The following is a 13,794-nucleotide window of genomic DNA, read 5'->3' as shown; positions in this document are numbered from 1 at the left end:
ACTTTTTATTTTCCTAATTTGATGTAATTATTAGAAATTTGAAGTGCCGAATTATGGTGTGTGAAAGATTAATTGGTAGAACACTTTACTGTCTTTGTTTTCTGCATGGTGACTTACAGATCTTAGTTTTAGTTTTCTTTATCCTCTCATCAAGAATGGTGGAGAATGAAAACAAACATCTGGGAGTCAGTTCTTTTATGAGTTATTAACATCCCTCTCCTTTTGAATCATAGTTCAGTATGTAGTTTTCTTGTTTTTAGAGACAGTGTCTCGCTCTCTTGCCCAGGCTGAAGTGCAGTGGCACAGTCATAGCTCACTGTAGCCTTGAACTCCTGGGCTCAAATGATCCTCCTGCCCCAGTCTCCTGAGTAGCTAGGACTACTCAGTCCACCATGCCTGGCTAATCTTTTTCTTAGTGGATGGATACAGCTTCTTTAAATATATTGATGTGTTTGGTATTAGGCCTGTCGTTATGCTTTTCTTTGTCTTCTGATTTTGGCAATTTTACATTTTAAAAATAATCTTAACTATGTTAGGTGCTTCTCTGGTTTGTTCTGTGTGTGGGTTTATTCTAATAATGTTAAGCGTTGTATTTTGGTACTACCTTATCATCATTATTACACTTACGTAGTGTATTTGATCCACTGTTTCTTTAGAAAGTTCTATTGAACAATGACAGAATTTGTGTATTTCCTGTTTTAAATTATTCCTTCCCACCTTTCTCTTCTCCCACCCTTTTTTCTTAGTGTTTTCTTTATGCAATAGTTGACCCCTTATTATTAGGGGATGCACTCCAAGACCCCTAGTGGATGTCTGAAACCACAGATGATACCAAACCCTGTATATACTGTTTTTTCCTGTACATACACACCTATGATGAAGTTTAATTTGTAAATTAGGCATAGTAAGATATTAGCAACAATAACTAGGAATAAAACGGAACAATTTGCAACAATATTCTGTAATAAAAGTCATATGAATATAGTCTGTTCTCAAAATATTTTACTGCATTATACTCACCCTTATTGTGTTGAAGAAGGGATGGAGCAGGATGGTGCGAGATTTTGTCATGCTACTCAGAATGGTGTGTCATTTAAAACTTATATGTTGTTTATTTTTGGACTTTTCCGTGTAATATTTTTTAACTGCGGTTGACCATGGGTAACTGAAACCTCAAAAAGTGAAACCGCACGTAAGGGGAGACTACTATAATTTTAGATTTACTTACACCTCTGTTACTTGGTGTACAAATTTTAAATTATATCTCTGCATCAGCCCTTGTTCATGAAAGCTCAAGAAACCAGTGTACTTTCTTTTGTTGACTTTATGATTTTCAGATCAATTAGATCATATAATTCTTTAAAATAGCTTTATTGAGGTGTAATGACATAAAATAAATTGCCCATATTAAAGTGTACAATTTGGTAACTTTTGACTTGTGAAAACAGCACCACAATCAAGATAATGAATATGTCCATCACCTCCAGAAATTTCCTCATGGCCGTTTGCTGTCTCTTTCTTTTGCCCCTCCCTGCTACCCTCAACTTATCCTCAGGCAATTACTGAACTTGTATCACTATAATTTCCATATTTTTGAATTTCATGAAAATGCAACAGTATGTATTAATTTTTGTATGTATTCGCTTTTTTTTGATCAATAGTTCTTTTTTATTGATGAGTAGTATTCCATTGCCCAGATGTACTACGTGAAAGACATTTGGGTTGTGTTCAGTTTTGGGCTGTTACACATAAAGCTGCTACAGACATTTGTGTGTAAAGCCTTCACTACCCTTACGTTTATGGATCAAGTTATGGCCGTTGCTTCCTCAGTAGCATTTTCAATGTAGTGGATCAGCATATTATCCTATGGATGGTGAGACTGTCAAGTTCCCTGTGGATTAGCTTAAGTATCCAGAGCTCCTCAAACTGTATTGTGTGTATAAATCACCTGGGTTAAAAATGTGCATTGTGAAAAATGTAGATCCTGCTTCAGATGGGTCTGCGATAGGACCTGGGAGTCTACATTTATAAAAAGCTTACAGGTGATGCTAATCCTGCTGTTCTACAAACCATACTCTAAATAACAAGGTTACAGAGCCTGAGAGTTTATGAAGCAAGGCAATAATGGTGAGGTTTTTTCCTGCCAAGTGAAAGTAAACTACTTATGGTATGTTATCTTTTTATCAGAAATAGAAGTGACTGCATTTACCATGTTAAGCAGCATTTTAAATGCCAAGAGTTTTGTTAAATGTGGAACAGCAATCAACAGAAGTCATCACTCAGTTCTACTAGTAAGTGTAACCTTCCAGATAAGATTGCTGAATGGGCATGGACTTCCCTGCCAGCCTGTCATCTGTGCATTTCCCTTAGGGAGGGTTTTTTGATTTGGAATTTTGGTAGGAAGGAAATATTCTGGGGTTGGCCCTTTTTATTTTAATAGCCTATAGAGTCGTGTACTGGGGGGCACTGCCACACTGTGGGTTTTGGGGGTTTCCAGAGAAAACTCAAGTCAGAACTCGATTACAGTCAGCTGACTGGTGCTTTGCATCCAGTTCCCAAGGTTTCCCCAGTTGAACCCAGTGAACTGTGGTGTTGCCGTAGGTCTCAAGGAATTAGTGGCGCACAGAGCCAGTGTGCTGTCGGGCTTCCTATTGAGTTTCAGCATTTCCCTTTTCTCGGGTACGTGGTCACAAGTCCTTAGGGGAAGGATGGAAGGATGGCTTACGGTGTTGGGGATCTGGGGTGTGAGAACTAGTGATAGGCAGTAATGGTTAAGAGCAAAACCCTGAAACCAGACAGCCTGTGCTCAGACTGTACCAGGCAAGTAACAGCAACTCCTTTGTGCCTCAGTGTGTCATCTATAAATTGAAAGTCATGAGTTCTTACAGCATAAGGCTGATAGAAGTTTAAGTAATCTTTGTAAGGTTCTTAGGACAGTGGCCACACATAGTAAAAACTTTTTAAGTATTTGCTAGATACATAAGCGTATATATAGAAAGGTAGGAAGGCAGGTGGGGAAATGATAGGCTTAGAAAAATTAAGCAACTTTTCTCAGGGCTCACAGTGGTAACAGTGGTGGCATTGAGCCAGGATTTGACATTTGAACTCCCCACAGTTGCATTCTGTAGCTTCACTTAAATCATTCAACATGGTATGTGGCATATATTTGATGGAAGCAGTGACTGAATTTAGGACTTCACCAGTTTACTAATTTGTTGAGACGTGAAGTGTCAGCATAAGCATAGTATACCAATTTAACATCCCTGAACTCAGACTAGACTATGTCTGTGATGTTCTGGCTTGGGTCGTGTTAGTAATAAAGTAGAGAATAAGCTCATGTGTAGTTATATTGTTGACCCTTAGTTATATTAAAGAATACGTCCTTTCTAATAACTGAATTTTTTTTTAACTTTTCCTGGACATAGGTATATATGAATTGCTTTTTAAAGAAATTATAGGTGTTCTCTTCTAATTGACTAAGGAAGTCATCTGATTTATATCAGATCAGATTGTTTTATAAACATTCTATCATGTTGTTTTAAAGATGCTAAAGGAAATAATATCCTAGTATGGTATTAAAATAATATATTGCTGAGTTTTTCCAAATGAATAATGTATTGCTGAAATTTTCCAAATTTTTCCATGTAATATTTTCAAACTGCAGTTGACCATGGGTAACTGAAACCTCAAAAAGTGAAACTGCACGTAAGTGGAGACTACTATAATTTTAGATTTACTCACACCTCTGTTACTTGGTGCACAAGTTTTAAATTATATCTCTCCACCAGTACTTGCTTATGAAAGCTCAAGAAACCAGTGTACTTTGTTTTTTTGGCTTTTTTACTTCATTAAGCTGTTTTACTTAATTCTTTAGTTAGAAACATTTTGTAGACGGCTTTCTACAATGCTAATTTGTTAATTAATAATTTAAAGTACCAGTGCTTAACCTATTTAATGATTTGAGAATATTAGTATCCCATTTTTCTTGTTCTTTTTGTATGTGGAACCCAAATTTCTTGTCATTTTGTGTTATATATTTCCTATAAGCTTTAGGTACAAGGTGCTGTTAAGAGTTAAGGAAGGTACTTTCTGCCTTCATCATTGAGTATAAAATCTGCAGCACTGCAGTGAGGCTGTCCTCATGCTGTTGCCACTCATGGTCTTACTCTGCATCACTCGCAGTATTAGGGAGGAGTTGGACCCTATTCCATGTTGCCCACATGCCTTTGGTTTTAGCTAAATCGAGGATTGATTACTTATTTTATGCTGTTTCTAGGCAGTTTTTCTCTTTTTTTCCTAGTAAAAAAGTAAATTTAGTCCTCTTTTCTGTGTGAATCCATACAGCCTGAAATTACTATGACAGGCTTGTATAAAAAAGCATGTGAGAGGGAATGCTAGCTTCCAGCAATTTGTTCTTGGTATAATGACCCTTTCTGTAAGGAATGTTGCTGCTCTTCATCTGTTAGTTTTTCTTCACAACAACTTGTAGAATTTTTCCATTTCATTTAGATTTTAACCTAGTGCTAGAATCGAAGTGTCATATTTAAATACTGTTACTTTTGGCTTTTGGATATGTGTTCCTTTTAAGGTCTGTGGTGCCTGAGACTTCTCACTTTGAACTCCCATCTCTCACCTGTGGTATTATGTTTGCAGCAATGACCCTGGTGTGGGCCTCCAGGGAGCAACAGCCCAGCCAGCCTGCAGGCCTCACTCAGGGCTTGTTTTGTTATTGTGATTTTTTTTAAACCTCAGTGATGGGAATGGGAGAATATACATTAGGATGAAGGTAAAGTTTTAGCCAAAATGAAAGATAATTAGGTATTTATTGTAATTTTCAGTTAACTTAGATTTTATTTCTATTCTTCTTGAAAGATTTTAGTATTCAGACTTCCAGCATAATGCTACATAGGGCCTTTCCCTTGAAATGCTTGATTTCACTGCTTTCTGTAGGAACACTATTCTTCAAGCAAAACCAAATTTAAAAATCCTGTGGGGCTGGGCGCAGTGGCTTACGCCTGTAATCCCAGCACTTTGGGAGGCCGAGGCGGGTGGATCACGAGGTCAGATTGAGACCATCCTGGCTAACACGGTGAAACCCTGTCTCTACTAAAAACACAAAAAATTAGCTGGGCGTAGTGGCGGGCACCAGTAGTCCCAGCTACTCGGGAGACTGAGGCAGGAGAATGGTGTGAACCCGGGAGGAGGAGCTTGCAGTGAGCCGAGATTGCGCCACTGCACTCTAGCCTGGGCGACAGAGCAAGAGACTCCGTTTCAAAAAAAAAAATCATGCGTCTGACACTAACATTTTCCTTTAATAATCAAATTGTTCATATTTTTCTAGAAGCATCAAATAACCTACATTATGTGTTGTATTTATCTGAGAATCGAAAGTAGATACTTTAATTTTCCCCACTTTCATAGTCCCTTGAGTCTAATTATCGTAGGCTGCAGGTCCTACAGACTACTGAAGTGAACCAGGGGCCTGCCTTACAGTTGCTTTTTTCCCTCTTAAAATAGCAAACTGTTTAATTGTTTGCTTTAATTATATTTTTAGGAGCATTTCAAAGGATTATTATCTTCTTTGTCATACCTGGCTCATTTCCTGGTACGAAACTGAAAATAGTATCTGATCCTATTGGTTGCATAACATACTGAGTCATAATTTCTTCCTCTTGCTGTTGGGAATAGCCATTGCTCGTTGGATTCGCAGTTCCTGTTTCATTTATTTGTGCTTATATACAACTGTCATTTTGCTATTCCTTTAGATCTTTGAAATTCATAATCTACCTTTCTAAAGGTGTATTTTATTGAGTTCCTGCTATGATTATTAACATTTTTTTTCCTTTTTTTTGAGACAGAGTCTCACTTTGTTGCCCAGGCTGGAATGCAGTGGCACGATCTCAGCTCACTGCAACCTCTGCCTCCAGGGTTCAAGCAATTCCCCTGCCTCACCTTCCCAGTAGCTGGGATTACAGGCACGCACCACCATGTCTGGCTAATTTTTTTGTTTGTTTGTTCGTTTGTTTTTTTGAGATGGAGTTTCACTCTTGTTGCCCAGGCTGGAGTGCAATGGCGCGATCTCAGCTCACTGCAACTTCCACTTCCTGGGTTCAAGCGATTCTCCTGCCTCAGCCTCTTGAGTAGCTGGGATTACAGTCATGTACCACCACGCCCAGCTAATTTTGTATTTTTAGTAGAGATGGGGTTTCTCTATGTTGGTCAGGCTGGTCTCAAACTCCTGGCCTCAGGTGATCTGTCTGCCTCAGCCTCCCAAAGTGCTGGGATTACAGGCGTGAGCCAATTTTTGTATTTTTAGTAGAGATGGGGTTTCACCATGTTGGCCAGGCTGGTCGCCAACTCCTGACCTTAAATGATCCACCTGCCTTGGACTCCCAAAGTGCTGGGATTACAGGCATGAGCCACACTGCACCCGGCCCCCTCTTTGATTATTAAGTGCTCCCAAGTAGAAGAAATACTAGATGTAAAGAAACCACATATATCAGACTGGCATGTGCTTTGAGATGATGCATACTTTCCTGGATAAAATTTACTACGACAGACATCTTTTAGGGAATAATTAGGATGATGTATAGCCTTAGAATTTATAATATTGTAAAATGACTAATATTTAATTACCCATTGAATACGAATTAAGCTGTTTTACTTAATTCTTTAGTTAGAAACATTTTATAGACAGCTTTCTACAAGGCTAATTTATGTTAATTAATAATTTAAAGTTCCAGTGCTTAACCTATTTAATAATATGAGAATTAGTATCCCATTTTTCTTGTTCTTTTTGTATGTGGAACCCAAATTTCTCATCATTTTGTGTTACGTATTTCTTACAAATTGTAAGGCATATGGTGCCTGAGACTTGCTCTTGGAGCTCCTGTCTTCCATCTGCAGGCCCTGGTCCTCACCTCTGGTATGTCTCTTGGCACCTAGGCTGGCTCTTTTTGCAGTGACCCTGGTGTGGGCCTGCACAAAAGGAAACAAGCCCTGGAATTGTTAAGCTTCTCAAGGGCACACAATTTTCATCCTCTTTAGAAACATAATTTCTCAAATTCTTTCTTAAAAAATCAAGACGAGGTCTCACCATGTTTCCCAGGCTGGTCTTGAATTCCTGGGCACAGGCAATCGTTCGTCCTTGGCCTCCCAGAATGCTGGGATTACAGGCATGAGTCACTGTACCTGGCTCAAATTCCTATTAGACTTAAAAATAGTTTTTATTAATTCCAAAAAGTATAAACTTATTGGAGAAATAAGAAAGATGCATTTATCACTCCAGAGATTCCAAGGGTTTTAAGAGCTGTGTGTCTGGAAACAGGGATGAAGACCAAATATGTATTTCATAATATCACGGCCTCCAGCAGCTACTTGCTGAGTGACTTCAGCACTTACGTAGCAGGGAGGGAGCACCCACTCTTTCTCTGCTTCTGCTCTCTCCATCTTAGAACTCTTGGCAATTTTTCTTTTCTTTAGCTCCATAGGACTGCATATGTTTATTTCTTTATTAAACAAAAGAAGTTAATAAAAAAAAGAAAAGTAGGCAAAATACCAGGATTAATATAATAAAGGAGGAAGAGGCAGTGAAAAACCGTGAGGTTTGTCCCAGATTAGTAAGAACGTTATTGAGTAGCATTGATGTGATGTTAATTTTTGTTTCATATGGGCTGTATGGTAATGAATGTTCTGATAGAAAAGGTTATGCACAGAGTGCCATGTAAGCATAGAGGAAGGGACATTTGAGCCTCGACAGACAAGTAGGGGCTAGCTAGGCATTCTAGGCAGAGCTGCACCTTGTATACAGATATTGAGTCTTGAATGGAGACTTTTGGAGCTGTTTTAAGTAGTTTGGGGCTGGAACAGAATATCTGAGGTTTTGGAAGAGATTAGGCAGGTGTGCAGAACTTAGTTCCAGGTGCCTTCCTGTGCCATGCTAAATGTTTACACCATTTCTATCCTGAAGGTAGAATAAATCATTGAACAGTTTTAAATAGGGGAATAGCATGACTGTGTTTACATTTTAGAAAGATTACCCTACAGGAAAGGTAGAAGATGCATAGAAGGGTGGCAGATTGCAGGTGAAGGAGATTAATTAGGTACTTCCTGCTGGTGAGAAATGATGGGACCCAGAACTTGGGTGGTAGAAAAGGGCATTGGCAAGGAGGACATCTGGGATGACTTCTGAGTGTCTTGAGTAACTTGATGAATGGAGGTGCTACTAACTGAAATACAGCCTAGAAGAAGGATTGAGAAGAAATGGTTTGGACACATGAAGTATTTAAGTGGGTATGTCCAACAGGCAGGGGGCTGTTTGGGTTTGAGGTAGAGATCTGGAAATCATTGGTGGTAGTATAGGTGGTAAAAGTTGTGGATGAGAATGAGATCTCCTGGGAAGAGCTTTTATTGAGAGGGGAAGAAGGCTGAGAAATTACCAGAGGTAGATGGAAAGGCAGGAAAAATGAGGGACCCAGCAGGCAGTGAAGGGAGGAATACAAGGAGGGAGTGTCCAGGATGGATGTCTCTGATCTTTTGAGGCAGTACATTTAATAGGTACTGAATATTGTCCACTGGCTATAGGACAATCTTATAATGTCATTGGTAACTGGAACAAGAATGGTCTTGCTTGTTTGGAGGTGAATGGGTATGGTGGCATGGGTTTACTCTACTCCTCTTAGAAGCTGGTCTGTAAAGGAGGTGAGCTGGAGGGCCTTAGCAAGGCCTAAGGAAGGCTTCTGACGGGTGAGACTTGAGGTTGGAGAGATAGTAGGTTGAGGAGGTCTAGAAATAAATGATCTCTAGACAGGTTTTTAGGAAGGAAGAGGAGTTGAGAGTCGGTAACCAAAGTCATTACATTCTACTTGTAGTAGCTCAGGATGACCTTGGGAAGGACTCAGTTTAACTTGCTGTTTTATATTTTTATTGATTTTTCTTTTCTTTTTTCCAGATAAAATTCACTAGATATTGTTTGCACATTAAACTCATTTCCAGACTGCAAACCCTGACATAGCTGTTATTTTTTTCACTAAGTGTTCTGGAAAGCACATTTTGAATTTGTCCTGTCCTTTCAAGTCCCTCCCCACCCCCAACCCCTAAATGTTCAGACAGGTACAGATAGTGAAATACTGCCTGTGCAAAAGCCCCTTCCACGCCTGCTCTTCTGGGAGTGCTTCAGGCGGCAGCTGTGTATATGTGCTCCTTCCTGGCCTTTTCAGACTTGATCTTCAATAAGTGATGAATTCCTTTATTTATGAATAAAACTCAGTGTACTTCAGCAAATTTGTATATTTTAAAAGGAGTCAAGGAGTGAGCCTCTGGGGGATTTTACATATCAGAATGGAAGAGAGAGATTTTGGGGGATAGTACCTTTTTATTGTTTTTGTTTGTTTGTTTGTTTTTTGAGACAGTCTCACTCTGTCACCCAGGCTGGAGTGCAATGGCACGATCTTGGCTCACTGCAATCTCTGCCTCCTGGGTTTACGCGATTCTCCTGCCTCAGCCTCTTTGAGTAGCTTGGATTACAGGCACCCGCCATCATGCCTGGCTAATTTTTGTATTTTTGTAGAGATGAGGTTTCACCATGTTGGCCAGGCTGGTCTTGAACTCCTGACCTCAGGTGATCCTCCCACCTCGGCCTCCCAAAGTGCTGGGATTACAGGCGTGAGCCACAGCGCCCGGCCGATATTACCTTTTTAAAATCCACTTTCTGTTATATATTAACATTGGCCAGCCTTGCTTCACATTCCCATAGTCAGAAATAAAATTAATAGAGTTCTGCTTTTCAGAATAACTAATAAAACCAGTCACTTTTTGAACTGGTTATGAAAATGAAATCTGTATGTCATAATTTACAAAAGTTGTATTAAAATAATACTCAATTTCTGGATTCAAGCAAGTTGAGCTTTTAGTTCTGTGACTGGCTGACCCCTTTCCAGGCATGCTTGTGAGCAGGTTCTCAGGGCATCTTGCCTCTGAAGTGGAAGAGCCTGATTGTTTTCCAGCTCCCATTCATAATGTTAGGGCTCCTCACTAAATGACAGCTCACGGGCCAATGCCACAGCAACTACTTGGACAGTTTCTTTCTTGTTTGAGCAGATGTCTTTCTTTGAATGAGACTCTGTCATTCCAAGCACTGAAGTAGCCCATAAAGGATCATAAATTTCACAATTATGTATAAGTCATTTCAATTTGAACTTTGTATGAACCAAACATCTTGTGAAAGACTTCTGGCTCTAAGATTAAGAAATCGTAGAACTGTGATTCTGTTAATTCAACAAAAAATGTTTATGAAAGTAATTCAATAATATGGGAAGATTTAAAGATATTGCACATACATGTGATGGAACACTATACAGTAATTATATAATGTTTTGAAGAATAATGATGGAAATGCTTATATTTTGTTAAAGGTAAAAGGGATACAAAAGTCTGTATATGATCTCCCATTTAAAGCATAAATTCACAGAAAAAAATTAAAAATGAATTACACAGTGAGATAATAATCTTATTAAGGAAGCATAAAATTTTCTTTCCATTTCAGCTAATCTTCCAGTACCAACAATTGCAGCAATAGATGGACTCGCTTTAGGTGGTGGTCTTGAACTGGCTTTAGCCTGTGATATACGAGTAGCAGGTAAGAATTAATCCTGTTAAAAACATAATTTAAAAAAGTGAAGGTTGTGTTTACTCTTCAGGTAATTTTAAATATTTTATTCTGCTTCCTGTTGTTGAGTAGAATATTTTCAAAAAGTCACTTGTTGGTCCTAATGGTGTTTTCGAAATTCCCACCTGAAAAAAGTCTTGTGTTGTTTCTTGCCAGGATTTGGGTCAGGTAGAACTGAGTTTGAATCTTAGGTCCTGGACCAGGCGCGTGGCTTGCACCTCTAATCCCAGCACTTTGGGAGGCTGAGGTGGGAGGATCACTTGAGCCTGGGAGTTTGAGGCTGCAGTGAGCCATGATCGTGCCATTACACTCCAGCTCAGGTGACAGAGGGAGACCCTGTTTAAAAAAAAAAAAATTAAAAAGGAAAGAAAAAAAGGAAAAGAATCTGAGGTCCTCCCTTTTTTAGGCCAATATCTTCCTCTTTAGAGGAAATGGGGGAAATGACTGTTGCTGTTGTGAAGATTAAGCAATTAATCTGTGGATGTTAATCTAAGTACTAAATCACCATTTGCTACAGTAATGATAACTGAATCTCCTTGAAGTCCACTTTCTTCCTGAATGGTTTTCTGAGGATCTTATGAGGTGAATAGAAAAAGAGTGAAAAGAATTAGTGCCCACTGCTTACTGTGTGCAGTCCAGGCACCCAGTGTTATTCTAGCACTTGACATGTATTCACTCACTCCATCTGCATAACAACCCTCAGAGCAGGTACTTTGGGGCACTGGAGGAAACTGGAGAAGGGAGAGAAGCCCCAAAGAAGTGACTGAACTGAGATTTGAACCCAGACTGTTTGGCCACAGCCCACACACCTGTTACCTCATGAGAGCAACGTAGACTGATCTCCCATATTCATCGTTGTGGACACTATATCCATAGAGACTCAGCTCTGCCTGTGTCCTCGGGCTCTGAGACTGAGAACTGGGCACAGCAGACGGCACAGAGTTGTCACTGTTCTTCTCTTGCTTTCCATTATCGTTTCTGATGTGGCTGCATGTTAAAAGCAGAGCTGCCAAGGCAGAAGGATTGATTGAGGCCAGGAGTTCAAGACTAGCCTGGGCAGCATAAGGAGACCTCATCTTTATAAAAGATTTTTTAAATTTTTAGAACAATGTAGCGTCAACATGATTCAGTTTCTTGGGATTTCTGGTTGCTAGTCCATGTGTCCTTTTTCCTCCTTTTCACTTCATTTTAGGAACCTATTTTCTTGTAATGAAATCATTGGATTTTAAATTGAAAAGCTAAGGTACATGTAATCCATTTCTGAAAGAATACAGGTTTTGGAAATTAGAATATGGGAAGTAGTCTAAGTATATTTGGATATGCAAATAAAGAAGTTATTAAGATGTTTTAAAGTAGCCATGAAAACAGACATGAAAAGAGGAACCCTGTCCACCTGTCAGAATAGTAAAACTATTTGTCAGAAGGTAACTAAAGACTTGGTCTTGAAAAGTTGCCATATCTGATATGACCTATTAAGCTCTTTGGTCTGGGGGACTATATTCAGGCAACTGAAGAATTTGGGCTTGTCAGATACTGACAAGTCTGCTGATCCTGAATAATTAATAGATCTATGCCTCCAAATATGTCTTGGCAATATTGGGTCTAATAATGGAGTTACAGTCCTGGTCTTGTGAATCAAAAATTAATTCACTGCCAAGCAGTTTTTAACAGAAAATGTTGTGGGACTCTCCTAATACATGTCATTTAGAGTGCTTACTTATTTCCATAACAATGCCTTTTAAGTGATTTTTTTTAAGAATTTGTGATATCAATTTAATTAGTAAACAATATTTTAGTATATCTCATAACTTTTTCAAGTTGTCATATTTGAATGTGATGATATGGATGATACTTAATTTTCTTTCTTTCGTTTTAGCTTCCTCTGCAAAAATGGGCCTGGTTGAAACAAAATTGGCGATTATTCCTGGTGGAGGTATGAGTAGTTCACGCCCATTCCTCAAATCCTTGATTTGGTCCTAGAAACAGGGCATAAGGCAAAATCATGTTAATTGGAAAGGCAACATTTTGCGTAAAGAGACAATGGCATATTGTTTGCATCCCTAGCAAAGTCCCCATTCAAGTTACAGGCATACCTAACAGATTTTCCCCACCGCAATGAAACAAATACTGCGATAGAGCAAGCCACACAAATTTTTTGGTTTCCCAGTGCATATAAAAGTTATGTTTACACTATCTGCAGTCTGTTAAGCATGCAGTACCATTATGTCTAAAAACACAATGTACATATCTTAATTTAAAAATACTTTATTGCTAAATTTTCTAATGGTCACCTGAGCCTTCAAAGAATCATAATCTTTTTGCTGGTAGAGGGTTTTGCCTTGATGTTGAGGCTGCTGACTGATTAGAGTGGCGGTTGCTGGAGTGTGGAGGTGCTGTGCCAATTTCCAAGGACAGCAGTGCAGTTTGCCACATCAGTTGACTCTTCCTTTCACAAGAGATTTCTCTGTAGCATGCGCTGCTGTTTGATAGCATTTTACTCATAATTCTTTCAAAATTGGAATCAATCCTCAAACCCTGCCACTGCTTTATCAACTAAGTTTATGTAATACTCTAAATCCTTTGTTGTCATTTCTGCAGTGTTCACAGCATCTTTATCAGGAGTAGATTCCATCTCAAGAAACTGTTTTCTTTATTTGTCCATGTATTAGTCTGTTCTCATGCAGCTAATAAAGACATATGCGAGACTGGGTAATTTATAAAGGAAAGAGGTTTAATGGACTCACAGTTCTACATGGCTGGGGAGTCCTCACAGTCATGACAGAAGGCAAAGGAAGAGCAAAGGCATGTCTTACGTAGAGGCAGTCCAGAGAGAATGAAAGCCAAGGGAAAAGGGAAACCCCTTATTAAAAAAAGCATGAGATTTCCTGAGACTTATTCACCACGACGAGAATAGTATGGGGGAAACCCGCCTCCATGGTTCAGTGATCTCTCACCATATCCCTCCCACAACATGTGGGAATTATGGGAGCTACAATTCAGGATGAGATTTGGGTGGGGACACAGCCAAACCAGATCAATCCACAAGAAGCAACTCCCCATCCATTCCAGTTTTATAATGAGACTTCAGAAATTCAGTCACGTCTTCAGGTTACTCTTCTAATTCTATT

At 39.1% G+C, this 13,794-nt stretch overlaps 1 protein-coding gene across 20 annotated transcripts in view; it reads left to right on the top strand.

Annotated features, from left to right (window-relative positions):
* The window catches only part of AUH (AU RNA binding methylglutaconyl-CoA hydratase), a 148,096-nt gene that overhangs the window by 53,299 nt on the left and 81,003 nt on the right, over positions 1-13,794 (top strand). For all 20 annotated transcript variants that reach the window (XR_007061324.1, XR_007061323.1, XM_047423525.1 and 17 more), the window contains 2 exons: positions 10,544-10,636; positions 12,543-12,599. Coding sequence is in view for 18 of the 20 variants with exons in the window: in XM_047423525.1 (XP_047279481.1) it covers positions 10,544-10,636; positions 12,543-12,599 (150 nt within the window). In the remaining 2 variants the exon portion in view is untranslated. The remainder of the gene's footprint in view (positions 1-10,543; positions 10,637-12,542; positions 12,600-13,794) is intronic.

This window comes from Homo sapiens, chromosome 9 (assembly GCF_000001405.40).
Source record: "Homo sapiens chromosome 9, GRCh38.p14 Primary Assembly".
NCBI classification, from domain to species: domain Eukaryota; kingdom Metazoa; phylum Chordata; class Mammalia; order Primates; family Hominidae; genus Homo; species Homo sapiens.
The sequence above is the reverse complement of the archived record's forward strand: the minus strand, read 5'-3'. Positions and strand labels throughout refer to the sequence as shown.